The sequence below is a fragment of the Homo sapiens genome, chromosome 7 (genome assembly GCF_000001405.40).
Source record: "Homo sapiens chromosome 7, GRCh38.p14 Primary Assembly".
NCBI lineage: Eukaryota > Metazoa > Chordata > Mammalia > Primates > Hominidae > Homo > Homo sapiens.
Window position 1 is genome coordinate 151678472 of NC_000007.14, and position 19628 is coordinate 151698099.

Below are 19628 nucleotides of genomic sequence, written 5' to 3' on the forward strand. Positions count from 1 at the left end.
TTAGGAAGTCACCTATTAGAGAAGGAGCCCCCTTTTCCAGGGAGTCCCTTCAGGAGACTGAGCAGTGTGAGTGGAAAGCCCTCTGGAAGCCCCGGGCTGGCACTTGGGAGGCAGCTCTGGGTGGAAGCAGGAGGAGAGGGTTAGGACCCGAAACTTAAAATGTAAAAGGCCCTCACAACAAAGTCCCAAACTCTTGAAAAATAGAGGCCAGGTGCAGTGGCTCATGCCTATAATCTCAGCATTTCAGGAGGCTGAAGTGGGTGGACCACCTGAGGTTAGGAGTTCAAGACCAGACTGGCCAACATGGCAAAACCCCATCTCTACTAAAAATACAAATATTAGCTAGGCGTAGTGGCGCGCGCCTGTAGTCCCAGCCACTCCAGAGGCTGAGGCAGGAGAATCGCTTGAACCCAAGAGGCGGAGGTTGCAGTGAGCTGAGATTGTGCCACTGCATTCCATTCCAGCCTGGGTGACAGAGTGAGACTCTGTCTCAAAAAAAAAGAAAAAAAAGAAAAGTAGAATATTTTCCCCCAAAGGTCTTGAGAAGAAAACCCTGCTTTGAGGTGGGGTGGGGAGGAAGGAGAGGGAAGAGGAAGAGTGGGAAGGTCCTGATGTGGTTTAGCAGCTCTTCAGAGATGGGGGTGTGTCAGCAGGCAGGACCACAAAAGGGCTGCCGGCCCATCCGGACCCTTCTCAGGGCCAGGCTCCAGCTGCTTGGCACTGAGAAATAGAGACAGTAGCCAGGGCTCGGGGAGGCCTGCCCGGGGCCTCTCAGGGGGATCTGCAGGGGCAGAGCAAAGAAGCCTGTGTGCTATTTTGTGTGTAGTGTGGGGCACTGCCTGGGGCCTTAGACCCCAGAGTCATATCCTTCAGTGGTTCCTGCAGCAACAAAGTCTCCAGCAGGGGCTCGTCCTGGTCCCACAATGCACCTAGGACAGGCTATCTCCTCTCCTGAGAGTCAAGAGGGAATGTTCTCATCCTCCTCTCCCAGCCCCTTTCCCCACTGGACACAGGGCCCCTTCAGTGGCACTTCCCGGGGGCTGTGCCCCTGCTTCCTGTAGGCATGTGCAGGGACCTGATGGGGCAGAGCTGAATAGGATGTGGTGGGGGGCGTTTTAGGTTCAAAAACCTGTGCCACCCCCCACATCCTCATGACCTGTGACAGCCCTGCAGAGAAACCCCTCTGGGGGGCTGGGGTCTTCGTGTGTAAAGGAAGGGGCCAGCCACAGAGATCTCTAAAGCCTCCTCCATGGACAATGCTGAAAAGTAGCTATGTCCATCCCTGAGCAGGGCATGATCAAAACTAGCCCTGGCCAGGTGCGGTGGCTCATGCCTGTAGCCCCGGCACTTTGGGAGGCTGAGGGAGAAGGATCACTTGAGCCCAGGAGTTTGAGACCACCTAGGGCAACATGGCAAGACCCTGTCTCTATTAAAAAAAAAAAAATTGGCCAGATATGGTGACATATGCCTGTAGTCTCAGCTACATGGCGAGATTGCTTGAGCCCAGGAGTTCAAGGCTGCAGTGAGCTAGGACTGCACCACTGCACTCCAGCCTGGGTGACACAGCAAGATCCTATCTCACAAAACACAACACAACAAAATGAGCCCAAACTGCACCCATGCAGGCATTGGGCAAAGGCCCAGAGGAAACAGGTACTCTGTGGTGCCTATCTAGGCACCACTGATCAAAACCACAAACGCGCATGTTCCTGGACCCAGTAATTCCATTTCTGGGGCCATAGACTTATTTGTGTAATTGCTAAGTGTCGACTGTACTAAGTGTCGGCTTATTCATTACCATGGTGCTTTTAAAAGCAGAGCCTGGAGACGCAGAGGCTCGTCAAGAAGAGGTTAGATAAATCATGGCCCATCTGCAGGCACAGGCAGCCACCATTCCTGTCGGAACATGACAGGGATCCTCGTTCCTTTCATCTCCAAGATGGAGCGGTAAGTGAAGAAAGCCAACTGCAGAGCCATCTGTATCGAATGATACCATTTGTAGTTTTGAAAAAAGGAAAGAAAGTATCTATATTCTGCCTGTCTGATTTTGCCTAGACTATCTCTGGCAGGATCTGGAAACACTGGCTGTCTCCAGGGAAGGGAACAACTGGCAGGGAGGACTTTCATCATATCCCCTTTTTGATTTTTCAAACTTTCTATCATGAGAATGGATTATCCATTCAGAAAATTACTTCTTTTCAGCCACTGCTTTGCTTTTGAGCCAAGAGGCTGGCGAAGGCCATATTTAAGCACTGACCTGCTTCCTGCCCTGCCTGCCCCGACGCGCCCCCCAGCTCTGTGCAGGGGTGTCTCCCACGAGGACCAGGACCAGGACCTCTGTCCTGTCTCCCACTAGAATCAGGGCCATGGCTGTGCCTTCCTGAGCTGTCCTCTCCCTTGCTCTTTCTCTTCGAGAAGTTTTTCCACTTCCAACATTCTTCAGGGATGAAGCTTAGTCACTGTTGTGCAAGGGATGTTCACAGCCCATGAAAACTCCTTGCTAGTTCTTTGGGTACAGAACGTTCATCTTTCAAGTAAACAGTTTAAAGAGAATGCAACTGTGACCAAGCCCCTCCCCACCCCCTGCCGAGAGCTCTTAAGAGCACAAACCACGGTGTCCGCTCCTCCCATGGCCCTGTCCCCTTGCAGGCCACCCCCGTGTGAGTACTGGAATGATCCTAACCCAGTCCCAAAGGAGGTGAGAGAGGTGGCGGGATGCAGGAGTGAACCTCTGGGGCCGAGGAGATGAGAAGGTGGACTGTTCATTTGGGGGTGGGAACACCTCATTTCTGGTGGGGCTGAATGATTCTCTATCATTGCCATCTTTCCAAGTTCAGAAGCTGCTCCCATCTTTCCACCTGGCCTTCCTGTTCCTTCCAGAGCTGGTGACTCCTGTGGGGAAAACAGGTGGCACTCTGGACTACAGAGGGGGAAGGGAAACTTTTAGAGGAAGGGACAGGTGAAATGCTGAGACTCACAGTGTGTGCATTAGGGATATGTGTGTAGTTAGGGGCATGGGGAGTGAACCCTCCTGGAACCTAACATATGCCCTATCTGTTGACTGATACCCGAAATGTTTTTAAGAGGGGGTAGAGTCTTGCAGCATCAACACTTTTTTTTTGTTTTTTGCACGATGCCACCCTGTTTACAGAGGGCTTACACACTCTGGCCCCCTCTGCCCCTCACAGATGAAGAAACTGGTAGCTGGAGAAAGTTCAGCTACTTATCCATGGTCCTTTAGCGAATAAATGGCAGGGACCACACCTCAGCTCCACTGTCCTGACTCTATAACCCAGACACTTTCTGCCACAATCAAACTGGGGTATCACCGAGAGAAAGAACATGAAGACTTAAAATTACATTTTAGCTGTATGAATTACTCTCCCAGAAGTGGGGCTTCACGGGGCCAACAGGAAGGAGAGCTTGGATGACACTGGGTGACTGCAGAGGGAAAGAAGAGGTGCCACAGAAGAGAGAAGGGCACAGAGACGGAGTGAGCTTGGGACCCCATGTGCTTCCTAAGGTGGGACAGCCCCATGTAGGGAGGGACAGGCTTCCCCCAAAGAGGGTTTTCTTCCATGCCAGCCAGGAAGGGTAGACCAACAAAGAAGTGACTTCTACTCAGGTTTATGCTATTCAATCAGTAGAGAAACAACTGTCTTATGAGTCAGGTAAGGTGGGTAGTAAGAATGATTCCTAAGCTTTTTTTCTTTTCAATGTTGGTATCACTATTCATAAATAAAAGGGAAAATGGGCAATGCTGACACAATCCCTCATTACTTTTTTTGAGACAAGGTCTCACTCTGTGGCCCAGGCTGGGGTACAATGGTATGATCACGGCTCACTGCAGCCTCAAACTCCTGGGCTCAAGTGATCCTCCCACCTCAGTCTCCTGAGTAGCCGGAACTCCAGGCAAATACCATTACACCAGCTAATTTTTTTATTTTTGTAGAGATGGCATCTTACTATGTTGCCCAGGCTGGTCTTGAACTCCTGGTATCAAGTCACCTCCTGCCTCAGCCTCCCAAAGTGCTGGGAATATAGGTGTGAACCGCCATGCCTGGCCCCCCATTACTTTTAAATAGACCAATGTATTTCTTAATCATAAGGTCAACTGCTGAACTCAACCTTGGGTCTGATCAGTAAATGAATAGTTCCTGGACAGCTTCCACGGGCCAAGTATGCTGGGGGTGTTGAGGAAGGAGGTGCTAAGATGGATTAGAGCAAGTCCCTGTAGTCTGTAGGAGAAATGGGGACAAAACCAAAAAATCAGCCCCAACACCACCATGCAATAAAGTCGAGAACCAGGAAAGCAGGGGGGAGCTCAGGGAAGAGGAGAGGGCCTGAGGGTGGGGGTGGGACGGTGGCTCAGAAACCCCAGGAAAGAGCTGGGCCCCGATCCTGGAGGAGGACACAGGTCTGCCCCGGCCCAGGGGCCTCTCCTAAGGGCCCAGGCAGAACTGGGCCATGGCCAAAGTCACCCAAGAAGGCTCTGGCCAAAGGACAGACAGGTGCCCCCTTTCTGTTCCTTCTGAGAAGACATCTCCTCCTTTTTCCTGCTCCTTAAGGACTTTGTTTAGGACGCCGCCAGCCTCTGCAGTGAACAATGCCTTTGATTCTCCCAGGGCGGCAGCCAGGCCCAGTGAACAGCCCAGCGAGGGAACAGAAACTGCTCCTGGCAGCCACACAGAACACCACGAAAGGGGGTCCAGACACTGGGGAGCCATGGGCTGGTGACTTCACAGGGCCTGGCCCTGCTGGCAGGCGCTGGAGAGGAGGAGGAGGAGAACAGAGGTGCCACCAAAGGGAACTGAGCCCTGCTGGAACGGAATAGCTGTGCTGGGTGGAAACAGAGGCCTGGCCCTCAGAAGCCCCAAGCTCTAGGTCTGGTTTTACCACTAAGTTGCCATGGGCTCTGGGACAAATCCACCCCTTGCCTTGGTAAAAATAAACCAGGTAGACCAGATGCCTATCTGGTGCAATCCGGCCCCTCCACTGCGTAAATGGAATGAGCTAGAGCCTCATTCCTGCCTGAGGAACGGAACGACAAGAAGGAAGTAATGTATTCTGCTGACTGTTGTTACAAGAGCCATGAAGTGAGAAGAGCAACATTTCCATTGACACTGGAGGGAGGCTTTGCTTATACAGGGTTTTGAAACCTCCTACCACTCATCAGAGTGAGGGGCCAGGTGTTGTTCCCTACTTTGGAGGGAGGATGGCGAGCGCCGTGAGGGGGAACGGTGGCCCAGGGAGGTGCCCAACGAAAGTGCCACAGCCAGAGAGGGACAGGAGTACCTGTGCTGAGTAGCTGTAGCACACAGAGGGATGCAACCAGCAGGCAGGCGGAGACCCTGGGCGGCGCGAGACCCTGTGTGACACAAGTTCAGGCCAGGCAGGTGACCCAGAACCCAGCCTCTGATGTCTGCTTAGGACTCTGTTTTCTCAAGGAGCAAACCCACTGCTTCAATGTTTTGGCCCTTTCTCAGGTGCCCTCTGGCCTGGCTCCTACACCCTCTCCCCGCACGGCCCCTATTGCCCGCAGGTTTTACCTTCCACCCCTCATTCCAGAGCCCTACCCTCCAGGGCCGCTGGAGCTGAGTGCCCAGCCCTCTGACTCCAGAATGGCTCTGGGCAGTGCAGGCAACTGCAGGAGGCTGGGGGAGCCAGGGAATAGAGGGGCAGTATCCTCAGGGACCCTGCCTGCCATGCCTCCAGCAACTCCTCTTCCCCTCGTCGCTCCAGGCCTGGGCGGTAATGACTCCTGAAACCCTGCCCACACCCCTGGGAAAAGCCCCTTCAGAACCCCAGCTGAATGTCCTTGTTTCCTGCCCCCAACGATACAGTTTCCAGCCTCCACTCCCAAACCAGGATAAGGACTGGCCAGCACCGTGGAAGCAGCTGAGCTCTGGGGCCAGAAACCTGGGCTGGACCCTAAGTCACCACTCGCCAGCTATGTGGCCTCAGAGGAGTCAGCTCAGAGGCTTGCTTCATTCTTTGAACATCTGAGCTGCCCGTGGGCTTTGTGTGATGAGTAAGAGGTAAGAAGCAAAGCACCCTAGGACACTGAATGATAAGGCCCGTATTCAGTATGGGCAGCTGCCATTGATAGCAGGTGACGTCTCCGGGAGAAGACCCTGCTGGTCGGAAGCTCAGAGCCAGCTCTAGCTTCTGCCTTGCCTGGGGGACAGGAGTGTGACACACCTGAAGTTCAAGCTGCAGCTCACCCCTGGCTGACTCCACCCTGCGGCCCCTCCACACAGGCTCAGTGTGGAGGTGAGAAATCCCAGCTGAGCCCTCTCTGACAAGTTGGGGTCTCCTCCAGGCAGTCCTGGCCATAGCCATCCCAGTGCCCCCAGCCACAGTCAGCCACAATGCACTCTGGAAGCTGTTCCTGAGGGCGTGGAGGCCAGTCCCTGGTTTCTCATCACCTGGAGACGTAAGAAATTGGAAAAAGCTGGTCACCCCCAAGACAAGCTCCAGGTGCCACACGTCAGTTCATTGAACAGCGCCTGGACCAGGGTGACTTTAGGTATCAGTACCACTTAGGCCCAGGAGTCCACTTCCTCTATAACCCACTGCAGGCTGCTGTTTCATTTGCACAGAGGCAGGAATACCCTACACAGAGCGGGCCTGCCTGAGCCTTCAGCCATTTCTTCTCTTTCCCCCCAGCCCAGGGTGGGAGTGGCGAGGTCATCTTCAAGACCATTCTACCATTCTCCACCCTCCGTGTTGGTGGATGCATTCCAGAATGATCCATTCAACCTGAACTATTCTACCTCCCACAGCCCCAGCTGCCCAATACTTCTCTGAAAGAAGCCTGTCCTCAGGGCCACCCCACCAACACCCCTATCCCATGCTCAGCTTCTCTTTGAGAACTGCTGTGGTAGACAAATATTTCAGCTTCAGCACCCCTTTACACTCTTGAAAAATAGGGTGTTTAACATATAATGAGTTTATGGTTGTCATTTATAAATGAATTAATGTTTAAAATTTTCTCAGTTTTAATTTCTAATATAGGCTAGGTTCGGTGGCTTAGGCCTATAATCCCAGCACTTTGGGAGGCCGAGAAGGGAGGGGCTGGGAGCTCAGGAGTTCAAGATCAGCCTGGGCAACATAGTGAGACCCCCATTTCTACAAAAAATAAAAAATTAGCTGGGCATGGTGGCCTGTGCCCTTGGCCCCAGCTACTCAGGAGGCTGAGGAGGGAGGATTGCTTAAGCCTGAGAGGTTGCGGTTGCAATGAGCCACAACTGCGCCGCTGGACTCCAATCTGGGTGACAGAAAGACCCTGTCTCTAAAAAAAAAAAAAAAAATTCTAATATGGTGAATATTGATTCATATGACCCACAGAAATAAAAGCTCCTTGGGATCCTCATTTTTTTAAAAGTAACTTCTCAGCAATCTATATTTTTTAAAACAAAACAAAAAATAAGTGGCATTTTTACTTTTTGCAAATGTCTTGAATAGCTGGCTTAATCGAAGATGCTAGGTTTATGTATCTGCTAGTGCCCTCTTTCCCTGTGAGACGGTTTTGCTCTAAACCCTTGTCTGGGCAGTCCCCAGTCCCTGTCCCCACTGAGTCTAACCCGACATGCTGAGTAGAGCATCTGAGCCACAGAGACAGTTAGGATGCTTCTCAGGCTTCAGTTCTCAAACCTGGCTGGGCCAAAAGTCACCTGGGAGCATTGAGAACACATGTGCCCATAGGACCGGAAGATCCTGACCGATGGGGCCAGGAGGAGCCTGGGGATGTGAGCTGTGTGACGTTCCCCAGGTGACGCGGGTGGTTGGACATGTTTTGGAACCATTCATTTAATCCAATCTCCCTATTTCACAGATAGGAAACTTCTAAAGTAATTGTTAGTTCCCATTCTTTATGGTCATGTGGTCCGAGTGCCTCCATCCTGTCTCACAGCTCCCTTCTATGGAAGAGCAAATTCCCTTCCTTCTGAGTTCCCAGCCACCTGCTTGGACTCTGATAGGAATGACTCTCCCTGCAGCCAAGGTCAGCCTCATGCAGAAACGCCCTGGAATGATGCCTCGTCCCCGGGTACCAGGCGTTTATGCAGCTGCCGGCCAGGCCAGCTCTCCTGAGCTCTGCTGCTCCTTTCCAGCCAGCTGCTTTGAGACCTTGCTCTGAATGTTCCTAAAAGACAAGTTTCACACCCGCCTGGTGTCCTCCCCACCCCACTCCAGCCCTGCCCCTGCAGGACCCCCTCTCTCAGCAGGAGTTTCTGGACTCTGGCCCCTTTATAGCTGAATGGCCCTGGCCCTAGCTGAGCTCACTCTCAATTCATATTTCAATCTGGAGTAAGGTTTCAGGCTGCAGATTTCGGTTCTAGGCTCTAAGAATCTGTTTTATGATCTTTTGTCATTGAAACTGTTCAAAATATGTTGGAAAATATCTGAGTGATCTTCAAGTCAAAGCATCATGGTAATATGGAAGGTGAAAAAATATTTCTATTTAAAAAAAAAACTTTCAGGAATTTTTCCAAGGTTATTCTCCTAAAAGGAATCCGGAAAATATCCAGTCTTATAGGGCTTTGTATACCCAATAACATTCTGCACCTAGTTATGAAATAGTTGGCTCTAGCATATGGGTATTTACATGGGAACTAACAAAACAAAACAGAAATGGTGGTGCAGGGGAAGGAAAGGAGAATCTCACAGGGGCTAATTTTAAATCTGTCCCAACTCTGACAATGTGGTCCCAGCCTCTGCTGTCTGCCCTGTTCCTTCTTCACGCTTGCTTGGAGGTCAGAGTTCTACATCATGGACCCAAAACGTAACCCTAGATACTTCGCTTGGGCAAAAGACAACAGCAGATATGCATCTTGATGTTGCCACTTAGAAAGCAGTCCTGGGGAGGCACAGGGGAGGCCCCTCTGCTGCTTTGTGAGAGAGAGAAATTCTGCCACAGAACTTTTCCCATATACAATGGTTTCGGAAAAACAATTTGCTAATAATTTGTCAATGAAAGGGAAATGTTAGCAGCCTCAGTCCCTCTAATTATCAGTATTTGTGGAATCACAAAAGCAACAGGCATTGTTTGGTGCTGTGGAGATGAACTCTGCCGAATGTGATAGTCTGGAATGGGCCAGCATGAGAATCATAGGTGGTAAGAATGGGCATGACCTTGGACAAACATCTCAGAACCTCATTTTCGGTGGAGGAAGTGCAGGCTCTGAGAGGTGAAGTGTGTGGCCGAGGATCTACCCCCCACCCCAGAAGCAGGTCCACAGCCATGACTCAGGTCTTCAGGCCGCAGCCCAGGGCCTTGCTCCATTCCAGGAGGTTTCTGACGGTGACCTCATCCCTGTGGAATGTTGGGGAGAAGACCGTTTGTATGGGCGACAGGAAAAAGCACACGGTCGCACCAGGCGAGGTGGGTGCCTCAGGTCAGAGGTGTATCTGCCTTGGGCTGCCTCTCCGTGTCCACCCTCCTCCCCAACGGGGCTCCCTCGGCCAGCTGCCAAGGGTGTATAGGGTGGAGCGGGTAGTGGAAGGCCAAGACTTGGCACTTTGGGTTTGGAAGGGGAGGGAGGAGGAGGAGGAGGAGGAGGAAATGAGGCCCCCCCCCGGGCTCCTTGCTGAGTCAGCATGGTGACTACTGTCATTTCCTAGAAGGAAATAAGGGAAGGACACCAATTCAATAGGAGACCTGGGGGACTTTCATACTCTCAGCTGATGCCAGGGTGCCCAGTGAGCAGGGGAAAGGCTTCCTGGCCCTGGCGGCAGGATGGGGCCAGAATATTCCTGGGCAGGAGCCCCCCCAGGTGGCCCATCCTGCCTGAGCATGTCTGAACATGTTCTTAGGTCAGGACTAGAGTTCGAGATTTCAGAAATGTCATTCTAACCTTGATCTCTTCGAGATGCCTGTTTATAACACAGCATCGTTCATGCCAATTGTCTGGCAAAGCCGGTATACACGGCTATCGCTATGATGTAAAACAGCAGATCTCATGTGAGGGTAAACTTGGAATTTACCCCGATGAGATGCGGTGTGGGGAGGGTCCAGTGGCTGCGAGGCCCTGGAAGCATGCCTCTTTCAGGGAGGCCTCCATCATCAGAGCTTCCGTCTGCAACGTCCCTGCCCTGTGCTGGCCAGGGAACTCCGCGGCGGGCTCCCCCACTGTGCCCGGGATTCGGACACTGCTTGCCGCGGAGTGTTTCCAGTCCCTCTTGAAATTCCTGGTTGTTGACAATTTGTTTATTATTCTAGCTCTTGAGGAAACTTCCTAAAAACTGGGGAAGAAGTAGTTCTTCAACTTTCTTGAATCTCAGGACACTTGGATCATCTGACGAAACTGATGAATGAAGCATGGGTACACAGATTTCTCTGTCTCTCAAATCACTTCGGGGCCCTTCTAACTCCCCAAAAGTCAGGTTTTAGGAATCTGTATTCCGAGGGGTCTCAAAATGTTCACGTGGTTCCCCTCTCCTCCAGGGTGGCCGGCCTCCCTGTTCCATCTTCTGAGAGGAGCTATACCCATTTTGCACCCTGAACCTCCAAACTCAGAAGTCTCTGAGGAGCCCTGAATAGGAGAAAATGTGGCTGAAAATGAAGTGGAAAATCAGTGTGATAACCAAATCAAGATCACGCCTCGCTGGGACCCTGTCACACTAAAGCTTCCAGAGCATAGTCGTTTTTAAAATCTGTAATAGTACCTGGAGTTTTTTCCTGTGCTTTCTATAATTCAGCTCTTTGAGTCTGCTCTGAACCCTTGGTGGTAGCTCACTGCTCATGAACAGATCCCCTCCTGGGGGGCTCCAGTGGCCTCCCACAATGGTCCCATTCCTGAGCTGTTTATCCTCACTCTGGAGGGCTCCCTCTGATCATCCAGGCTCACGGCTCTGGATGAGGCACAGGTGGGAAGGGCTGTGGGTGATGCAGGGAGGGCTTTCAGTCACCATCCCCTCCTGGAAGTGTATCCCAAGCCATTTCCAGGTGTACAGCTCTCAGGGGAGACAAGAATGCATTGTTCTACCTGGCACGATGGGGTGTGGGCCACGTGGGGTATGGGCCACAGAAGCACATTCCCAAACCTCCACTTTGGAGAGCCACGTACAGCGAAGCAGGAGAAGGCGGCAGAGGCGGGGATGGGGAGACCGTCTGTGAGTGTGGTTCCTGCCCGGCTTTCCCCTTCCCGCCAGGTCTCCCAGGAGGCCAGGTGGCGGCTGCAGCCGGTGGCAGACACTCCCTTCCTGGGGTGCTGGCTGCAGCCGGCTGCCATGGGACTCCAACCAGGGCTCTCCTGGGGTTCTGTTGACTCAACACATCATCTGACGCCACCCCGGCAGGCCCTCTGGGTGTCAGGTGCCAGTGAGACGGGTTGGGGAGGCTGGGACGGTGTCCAGACTGCCGCCTCTGCCCCAGAGCTCGTTTCCATGGTGCCGTTCCCAGCTCCAGGAGCTCTCCTCATTCACATCATGAAGGGAGAGGCAGGGATCGTGAGCTCTAGTGGTTGTCTGCCTCCAGTGATTAATTGGTACGATTCTCCACGGAGGAGGAAGAGAAGAGGAAGGAAAGCTGCAGATGAAAGGGAAATAAGCGTCTCGTGGTGGAAACAAAAGTATTGGTTGCATCCTTTCAAAGACGATCTGGAATCTCAAACCTAGGGTTTACCTCTGCCCCTCGATGGCAACAACAATTCTGGGAGTTCAGGGCCATGATAAAAAATGACAGCATCACACCTGAATTGCTGCTAGTGTTTTTAATAGACAGGTAACCACTCATCCCGAGGGAGGTGGGAAAGGAGCCCTCTTGCTAGGGAGCTTGGAATTCCTAATGCTGCCTGTGTCTGATGGACAGTACCTACCCCTGGTAGAGCTCGCTTCGCGGGGAGGGAGAACTCAGCCCTCTGTTTGCATGATCTGAGGCTCTGGAAAGCCCCCTGCCCCCTTCCAGATACCTCATCTACTTGACAAACTTCCAAGATGCCCTGCCTCCCCTTTCTACACATTGCTCTTCCCCGAAAGGTTCCTGCTCTGTTATTCTTGGTCAATCTGCAGAAGGCAGGCCGGATACTCCACAAAGGACCCAAGAGAGGAGCAGCCGTTAGGAAGGTGCAAGGCTGGGAGGGAAGGACAGGACCAGGGTTCCCGGATTCAATTGTACCACATCATACATGTTGCCTCCATGCAATTTTCTCTTTAGTGCCAGGTTTCTAGAATCAGTGCATGAAAAATGATATCTGAATACGGTGCTTAGGGGAGCCGGGTTTTTTCCACTTCTGATTCACTCCACAGCTTCAGCATCTATTGTCAGCTAAGCTCATCTTCTGTGAAGCCCTCACTGGTTTCTAGAGTGAATCATTCCTCCTTTTCATGCACTTAGCACATTCCAATGTTATCAAATGATAGAGTGCTGGGTTGTTTCCTGATGCACCTCGGGTCTTCCACTAAGCGTGAATGGCAGTGAGTCTCGCTTATCGCTATCCCATGGGGCCTGGTGCACTGTCCCAGCTCAAGAAAGATTTGTGGAGCTTGCTTTGTACATAGTGCTCAACAAGTAGACAAATCTAACTTTAAATCTTAAGCTCTTTAAAATACGCCGTTAAGAAAATGAAACAAGAAACATGACAGAGAGAAAACACAGCTATCCCTCTGTGTCTGCAGGGAATTGATTCCAGAACCCCTCTCAGGCACCAAAGTCTAGGATGTGCAAGTCCCCGATATAAAATGGTGTAATACGTGCATATGACCTATACACACCCTCCTGTATACTTTAAATTATCTCTGGATCACTTATAATACCTAATATAATGGAAATGCTATGCAAGTAATTATTATGCTGTGTTGGTTTTTCATCTGTATTTTTATTGTTGTATTATTATTTTTATTATTTTTTCCCCTGAATATTTTTGATCTGAATTGGTTGAAGCTGAGGAGGTGAAACCTGCAGATATGGAGGGCTGACCGTATTGCAAAACACATATATGATAAAGGACTTGTAGCAGAGTATATAAAGAACTCTCAAAACTCAGTAACAACAACAACAAAAAAAACTCAGTAAAAAAAAAAAAAAAGTGGACAGAAGATTTAAACACATACTTCAGCAAAGAAGATATACAGATGACAAATAATGATATGATATTCACCATCATTAATCTTTAGGGCTATATACATTAAAACTACAATGAAACATCACTACACCTACTAGACCAGCTAACGTCTACAAAAACCTGACAATACTAAGTGCTGACAATGATTTGGAACAACAGGAACTCTCATTTGTCACTGGTGGAAATACAAACTAGTATAGCCATTTTGGAAAATAGTTTGACAGTTTCTTCTGTAGTTAAACATACATTTACCATACAACCTAGCGATGCCACTCTTAGAAGATATGAAACCTTGTTCACACAAAATCCTGAATGCAATGTTTTCAGTGGCTCTATTCATAGTTGCCCCAAACTGGAGACAATTCAAACATCCTTCAACTGGTGAATTAATAAACTGGTACAGCACTTTGGGAGGTTGAAGCAGGAGGATCATTTGAAGCCAGGAGTTCAAGACCAGCCTAGGCAACATAGTGGGACCCCATCTCTACAAAAAATTAAAAAAGTTGGCTGGGTGCAGTGGCACACTCCTGTTGTCCCGGCTGCTTGGGAGGCTGAGGTGTGAGGATTACTTAAGTCTGGGAGTTCAAGGCTGCAGTGAGTCATGACTGCGCCACAGCACTACAGCCTGGGCGACAAAGTGAGACCCTGTCTCAAAACAACAAAAAAACAAAAAAAAATGAAAAACAAACCAAAAAACTGGTGCATCTATACAATAGAACACTACTCAGTAATAAAAAGGAAAGAACTCTTAATATATGCAACACAATGAATTAATCTCAAATGCATTTTTCTAAGTGAAGGAAGCCAGGTCCAAATATATACATACTATATATTTCCATTTATACAACATTCTGGAAAAAGCAAAATTATAGCGGACAGAAAAAAAAGTCAGTGTTTGCTGAGGATGAGGGGAGAAATTGACTATAAAAAGGGATGCGGAAATTTCTTTGGGTGTTGGAATTGTTCTATGTCTTGACGGTGGTGCTGATTACACAACTGCAGATGTTTCTCAAAACTCTCAGAATAGCACATTTTTTTTTAAAAGGGTGAGTTTTACTCTACGTAACTTATAGCTAAATAATCCTGACTTTTACAACAGTGCCCTAACATGAGTTCGGGGGGGTTGTCTCTGCAATGGGGGAAGCAGGTGCTTTTCCCCTGGGCCTTGAAGGAGGGACAGGCAGGGCTCGGATGGAGACGCCTCAGCATGATGGTGGAAACCTTGCCTCCGCCTTGGGGCCCAAGACCTGCTCACATAAAAATAGCAGCTGAATTCCCTCTCCCTCTGGCCCAAAGGTCATCTCCTGAAGGTGACAGAATGGAGCCACTACCAGGGGGCGGGGGAGTGCGAGGGGGAAGGAGCGAGGTCTCAGAGGCTCAGGCAACCTGGGCCCTGTCACCCAGACAACTCCCTCCCCTCCTGGAGACAGCTGTGCTCACACAGCCTGTACCCTGCCTTCCCCTGCTGTTGGGAGAAGGGGAGGGGGCAGGAGAGAGCTGAAAGGTTAGGCTGGGAGCAGAAAGGGAGATCCCACTCCTTCACCCGCCCTCACCTTCCACCAGACTCAGTCACCCGGCGCTCCTGAGGACAGGGGTCTTTGGTATATCTCTGCATATCCCTGAAAGGTGTGGACAGGTCAATGAGTCTTCTCTACAGCGGCTCTTGGCACAGGTCCGAACATGCAGAAAGCCTGATGATGTCCTGCTGCCCAGGGCAGGCCTGAGACCCGCAGCACAGGAGGCCCAAGGCGGCCATAAGGAGACCCAAGGCCCTCCGAGGGGCGCACGAGGGGTTCCAGGGAAAAGTGAGAAGGTGAGGCCCTCACCAGGTGGCTACTCATCCCAGAGAGGAGTTTGCAGGCCTGAATATGCCCCACCCGTCCCTCCTCCAGGCCCATCACCTCCCCGGGCCATCAGCAGCCACGCTAGGCCCACGAGAGGGTTCTATGCAATGGCTGCACCTTGAGAGCTTGCTTTATTTTTAGCTTTAAAAGTTGTGTTTTAAAGACATCTATATACTGAGTATAAAAATATTTACAAATATCCAAGAAATATGTTAGTAAAACTTTCTGAAGGCTGTGGTCTGAATGTGTGGGTCCCTGCCAAGTCCTTATGTTGAATTCTACCCGCAAGGTGATGGTGTTAGGAGGCCGGGCCTTGGGAGGTGAGGAGGGTGGTGCCCCATGCCCTTACAAGAGGGACCGCAGAGAGACCCCTCCTCCTTCCACCATGTGAGGACGCAGCCAGGAGGAGCTGAAGCAGGTCCTCAGCAGACACAGAATCTACCAGCACCTTGGTCTTGGACTCTAGCCTCCAGAACTGTGAGAAAGAAATTTCTGTTCTTTTTTTGTTTTGAGACGGAGTCTCGCACTGTTGCCTAGGCTGGAATGCAGTGGTGTGATCTCGGCTCACTGCAACTTGTGACCCCTGGGTTCAAGCAATTCTTCTGCCTCAGCCTCCTGAGCAGCTGGGATTACAGTTGCTCACCACCACACCCAGCTAATTTTTTTCTATTTTTAGTAGAGACAGGGTTTTACCATGTTGGCCAGGCTGGTCTTGAACTCCCGACCTCGAGTGATCTGCCCGCCTCAGCCTCCCAAAGTATTGGGATTACAGGCGTGAGCCACAGTGCCCAGCCACAATTTCTGTTCTTTATAAGCCACCCAGTCTATGGTATGATTACGGCAGCCTAAACAGACGAAGACGCTGAGTTAGCTAATTTGTTGATCCAAACAGTCCACTCTTTTTAAACATTTATTTTTGATTTTGTTAAAATGCACACAACCTAAAATTGACCATCTTCAAGCGCACAGTTCAGCAGCATTAACCACACTGCTGTGCAGCCCCCACCACCACCATCTCCAGAACCATTTCATAGTACAACACTGAAACTCTGTCCTCATAAAAATAACTCATTTCTCCCCACCTGCAACCCCTGGCAACCATCTTCTACTTCCTGTATCTGGGAATCTGGCCACTCTAGGGACCTCATATGAGTAAAATCTGGCAGTGTCTGTCCCTTCATGACTGCGTTCTCTCACTCAGCACAATGCCCTCAAGGTTCATCCACAAGGCAGCACCTGTCAGAATCTCCTTCCTTTTGAAGGCTGAATACTATTCCACCACATCTACACACAGCACGGAGGGCTTTCTCTCACAATTCCCTCCCGGCTTTGCCATCGCTTTGCTATTGCTCTGTGTCTCCCAAGAGATCGCTGCCCCTCCTAGGTCTGCAGCTTCCCTTTCCTGTGGTGACAGCAACTATGGTTGCTGCCTGCATGGCCTGGTGTCCCCATGTGCCCCCAACACCGAGGGCCAGAGCAAGGAGTAAGGACATCCGATGCAAACACCGCACCCACACGTTTCCTGGGGATGCCCCAGTCCCTCCGGGTCAGAATCTGTCAGCCTGTGCCCATGCCTGTCCCTTCCTTCTGGGCCACGGTCACAGGACTTGGGTCAGCAGGCCCGGGCAGGGAGGGAGCCCGGGACAACGCCAGACATTCCTGCCTTCCTGCAGCCAAGTTTCCGATGTGCTGTTGGAGGAATCCTGCCAAGGGTAATGTGACATTTACATGATGCCTGGTGGGGCTGCCCAGTGACATAACAGGGGGGTTGGGGGTGTGTCTCTGGGCACAGAGCCTGCAGCCCGGCAGAGTCTGATGACACTGTGTTGTGTAAATTGAAGCGACAGTCACCTGTTTCTCTAAGTCATGGCTCAAACCTGTTTCCTCTTATGTGACCATAAAATCACACCGCCTGTCACCTTGATCTTTGGGACTCTTCTGTCTTCCTTCTGAATAAAGCTACTTGATAAACACCCATCCACTTCCTGCAGGGGGAGAAGGCCAAATGCCCTCAGGTGCATTCTTTTGAGAGAGTCCAGAGAGCATGAGCCCAGCCAGAAGTAGGCATTTGTGATGGCCTTTCTGTGCACTTGTGCACACAAACTTTCTCGTGTGGGTGCCCTAAGTGCCGGCATTGTGCAGGAAGCTGTGTTGGGGGCTGGGAGCACAGTGGTAGCAGACACCATCCCTGCCCTCTTTCAACTGATTTTGCAAGGACTTCAGGAACACATTCTAGCACAACTAACTAGAGCTGCTCACTTATGAGCAGAGCCTCAGTTCAGCCATCAGTGAAATGGACAAATCAAATAGGAACTCTTGAATGGGCCACCTCCCCTGGGCAGCAGGGTGGCGTTGCTTCCAAGGTGTGCTTAAAGCCGGCTCTCTTCTTTGTGGTCTGAGCAGAAGCTGTAAGGCTAGGCCCTGGCCTTGTTCTTAGCTGTCCCTGGCCTACAGACCTTTGAACTAATCACTCTTGGTGGTCTGAATTCTCTGTAGACAGGTGGAAACCGTAGGCACTGTGTCCTCCAGACCTCAGCACAGCAAGAACAGTCTGGTGTTCATCCGGGCAGAGGAAGCAGACCCCACCCTGTGTTTACACGACACCAGCTCTTCAGGGGTCCGAGGGGGCGGGCCTGATGCCGGCATAAGGTTTGATGTTGCCAGCTAGAATCGCCAACACATCCCCGGAAGCCCAGTGGCTTAGCCTCCTATCAGTGCCTCCTCTGCAGCCCCTGCCAGGGCTGCCAGGAGCTCAGCCGGCCTTTGTTCTATTTCACCCCAACCAAATACCTCCTCCTCCTCCCTTCTCCTTATTCGTTAAAATTCAGCGCATGATACTGGCAAGCTTCAGCCGCAGCTCACAGCACTTTCAGAGGAAAACGTGGCGCGCCCGGGGCCTTCTCACAGCCATCGTGCAGCCGCCTGGGCAGCTCCCAGCTCCAATGGCAACTGGTAGCATCAGGAGAGTATGGGGTTCCCCAGTGGGGCTCCGGGGCAGCGCAACGCCACAGGACCTTGTGGTGGATGTGGCAAAGCATCTGCTCTGGTGGCCTGGGGCAGGTGAGGAAGTGAGCGCTTCTCAGGAGCAGAGCCAGGTCGTCTCTGCAGGCCCAGGCCTGCCGGCGCCTCAGCCCTGACGCCATCATCTCTCCTTTGACTGAGAACAAGGACCTCTTTCCTTGCCTAAATAGCCTACGGCTAAGAGGAAATCACCCCCAGTTACGAGAGGTTTCAGGAAGCCCCCCGCAACCTTCCACCCACCATCATCAAACTTTCAAAAGCAGAGAGTCTGGGATTTGAAGCCCCTGTCTGAAAAGTAGGTTTCAGATCCATCGGAAGGCAGGGTCAGGCCAAACCTCTCCTCTCAAGTCAGATAAAAACGATCACACCAGGGAGGAGAGGCCTGAAAAGGGGCAGCTGAAGGGAAAAAGAGCTGGAGAGTGGGGAGCAGCCCGGAGTGTCTCCTCTGGCTGGGAGGGGCCCTGTGGAGCTGGCAGCAGCAGCTCTTGGGAGCAGACAGAAGGCCGCTCCTTAGGACCAGGCGCTGCCACCTGCAGGCTCAGGCCCTGTTCACCTGCCGCAGATTCCCCGAGAGCCAGGCAGAAAAAGTGGACCCTGCCCCCAGAGCGCAGGCCCAGGGAGAGGCAGGCAGGTGGCCAGTCTGAGTCAGCGGGATGGAGGCGCCTGGCATGGGGAAGGGGTGTGTAGCCTGGGAGGGGCCTTGGGCGGGAGCATCCCCGGGGAGAGAGCTGGAGCCAGTTCCCTTAGGACACATGATAACTGGCAGAGGAAGAGCAGCTGCTGGGGAACGGGGGGTGGTGTGTAGGGAGCTGCACACCCTGGGGTGGTCAAGGCAGAATGGGCACCAGCTGCAGCCCACCAGGCCTGCTCTTGGGGTCCCAACAGGCAGGGAGAAGTGGTGGACCTGTGTCCGAGCATCAGGGGGCGCTGCAAGTGGGCATGCTGGGTGCCCAGCAGGGGTACCATCATTCCCCAGGGGTGTAGAGAGTGGGCCGAGCCCGGGAGCCCTCTGAGGAGGCTCTGCCACCACCTGTGGGACAGCAGGAGGAGCTTGAACTCTGTGGGGACTTGGAGCAGAAAGGACCCGCCGCTGGAAGTGAGGGTCACAGGAAAGGGGAAGCCCCGGAGCCCCTGGTCCTTGGCTTGGAGAGCTGGGTACACAATGATGCCCAACCCTCATAAGGTCCACACATGACAGGGTGCCTCCAATCCACTGTGGACGGTGACAGGTCAGCAAGGGTCTGACATAACCCCTTAGCTGTGGGGGGCACAGAGAATGGGCACGGCTGGGATACAGTGGTGCGCTGGGTGCAGGGAGGGGGTGTGGACGCAGGGAGGAGGCAGGTGCCGGGAGCAGACATCAGAGCCCAGAAAATGCCACAGAAATCGAGCCTCTCTCCACCCTGCCTTCCAACCTCATCCACCCAGTGGCTCAAGGCTGCCAGGATAAAGAAGGACGGGTGTAACGGGTCAAGGCGAATCCAAGCTTTGAGGTGTGCAGGTACAGAGGACTCTTGTGTGGTCCCCACAGCCATGGGTGCACAGGCCAGTGGGTGCATTCAGGGGACACGGCAGAGGGAGGTGCATTTTTGTGCTGTTTTCCTCTGTGCCAGCCCCCTGGGAAGCAGGCACTGTTGATGCCCTGTCCCTAGGTCTCACTTCTGAGTTCGCCTGCAGCTGGGAGGCAGTTCCTGTGGGC

At 52.0% G+C, this 19628-nt stretch overlaps 1 protein-coding gene across 23 annotated transcripts in view, besides 9 other annotated features; it reads right to left on the reverse strand.

The window, feature by feature from the left end:
* The window catches only part of PRKAG2 (protein kinase AMP-activated non-catalytic subunit gamma 2), a 320989-nt gene that overhangs the window by 122345 nt on the left and 179016 nt on the right, over positions 1 to 19628 (reverse strand). The window lies entirely within an intron of this gene.
* Positions 1796 to 2463: an enhancer, noted in NCBI's record as "H3K4me1 hESC enhancer chr7:151377353-151378020 (GRCh37/hg19 assembly coordinates)". NCBI's record gives its function as "activates a minimal SCP1, AML or CMV promoter by ChIP-STARR-seq in naive H9 embryonic stem cells {active_cell/tissue: H9 hESC(naive)}" and the evidence as "EXISTENCE:reporter gene assay evidence [ECO:0000049][PMID:30033119]".
* Positions 4182 to 4767: an enhancer, noted in NCBI's record as "H3K4me1 hESC enhancer chr7:151379739-151380324 (GRCh37/hg19 assembly coordinates)". NCBI's record gives its function as "activates a minimal SCP1, AML or CMV promoter by ChIP-STARR-seq in naive H9 embryonic stem cells {active_cell/tissue: H9 hESC(naive)}" and the evidence as "EXISTENCE:reporter gene assay evidence [ECO:0000049][PMID:30033119]".
* Positions 4768 to 5351: an enhancer, noted in NCBI's record as "H3K4me1 hESC enhancer chr7:151380325-151380908 (GRCh37/hg19 assembly coordinates)". NCBI's record gives its function as "activates a minimal SCP1, AML or CMV promoter by ChIP-STARR-seq in naive H9 embryonic stem cells {active_cell/tissue: H9 hESC(naive)}" and the evidence as "EXISTENCE:reporter gene assay evidence [ECO:0000049][PMID:30033119]".
* Positions 5352 to 5936: an enhancer, noted in NCBI's record as "H3K4me1 hESC enhancer chr7:151380909-151381493 (GRCh37/hg19 assembly coordinates)". NCBI's record gives its function as "activates a minimal SCP1, AML or CMV promoter by ChIP-STARR-seq in primed H9 embryonic stem cells {active_cell/tissue: H9 hESC(primed)}" and the evidence as "EXISTENCE:reporter gene assay evidence [ECO:0000049][PMID:30033119]".
* Positions 7254 to 8089: an enhancer, noted in NCBI's record as "H3K27ac-H3K4me1 hESC enhancer chr7:151382811-151383646 (GRCh37/hg19 assembly coordinates)". NCBI's record gives its function as "activates a minimal SCP1, AML or CMV promoter by ChIP-STARR-seq in naive H9 embryonic stem cells {active_cell/tissue: H9 hESC(naive)}" and the evidence as "EXISTENCE:reporter gene assay evidence [ECO:0000049][PMID:30033119]".
* Positions 7254 to 12117: a biological region, named in NCBI's record as "VISTA enhancer hs2193".
* Positions 7785 to 12117: an enhancer, noted in NCBI's record as "VISTA enhancer hs2193". NCBI's record gives its function as "enhancer in: heart[4/5]" and the evidence as "EXISTENCE:transgenic organism evidence [ECO:0001131][PMID:17130149]".
* Positions 8892 to 10091: an enhancer, noted in NCBI's record as "P300/CBP strongly-dependent group 1 enhancer chr7:151384449-151385648 (GRCh37/hg19 assembly coordinates)". NCBI's record gives its function as "activates an origin of replication core promoter dependent on BRD2, BRD4, P300/CBP, MED14 and CDK7 cofactors, with strong dependence on P300/CBP, by STARR-seq in HCT116 cells {active_cell/tissue: HCT116}" and the evidence as "EXISTENCE:reporter gene assay evidence [ECO:0000049][PMID:35650434]".
* Positions 14328 to 19521: an enhancer, noted in NCBI's record as "VISTA enhancer hs2194". NCBI's record gives its function as "enhancer in: limb[3/8] | heart[4/8]" and the evidence as "EXISTENCE:transgenic organism evidence [ECO:0001131][PMID:17130149]".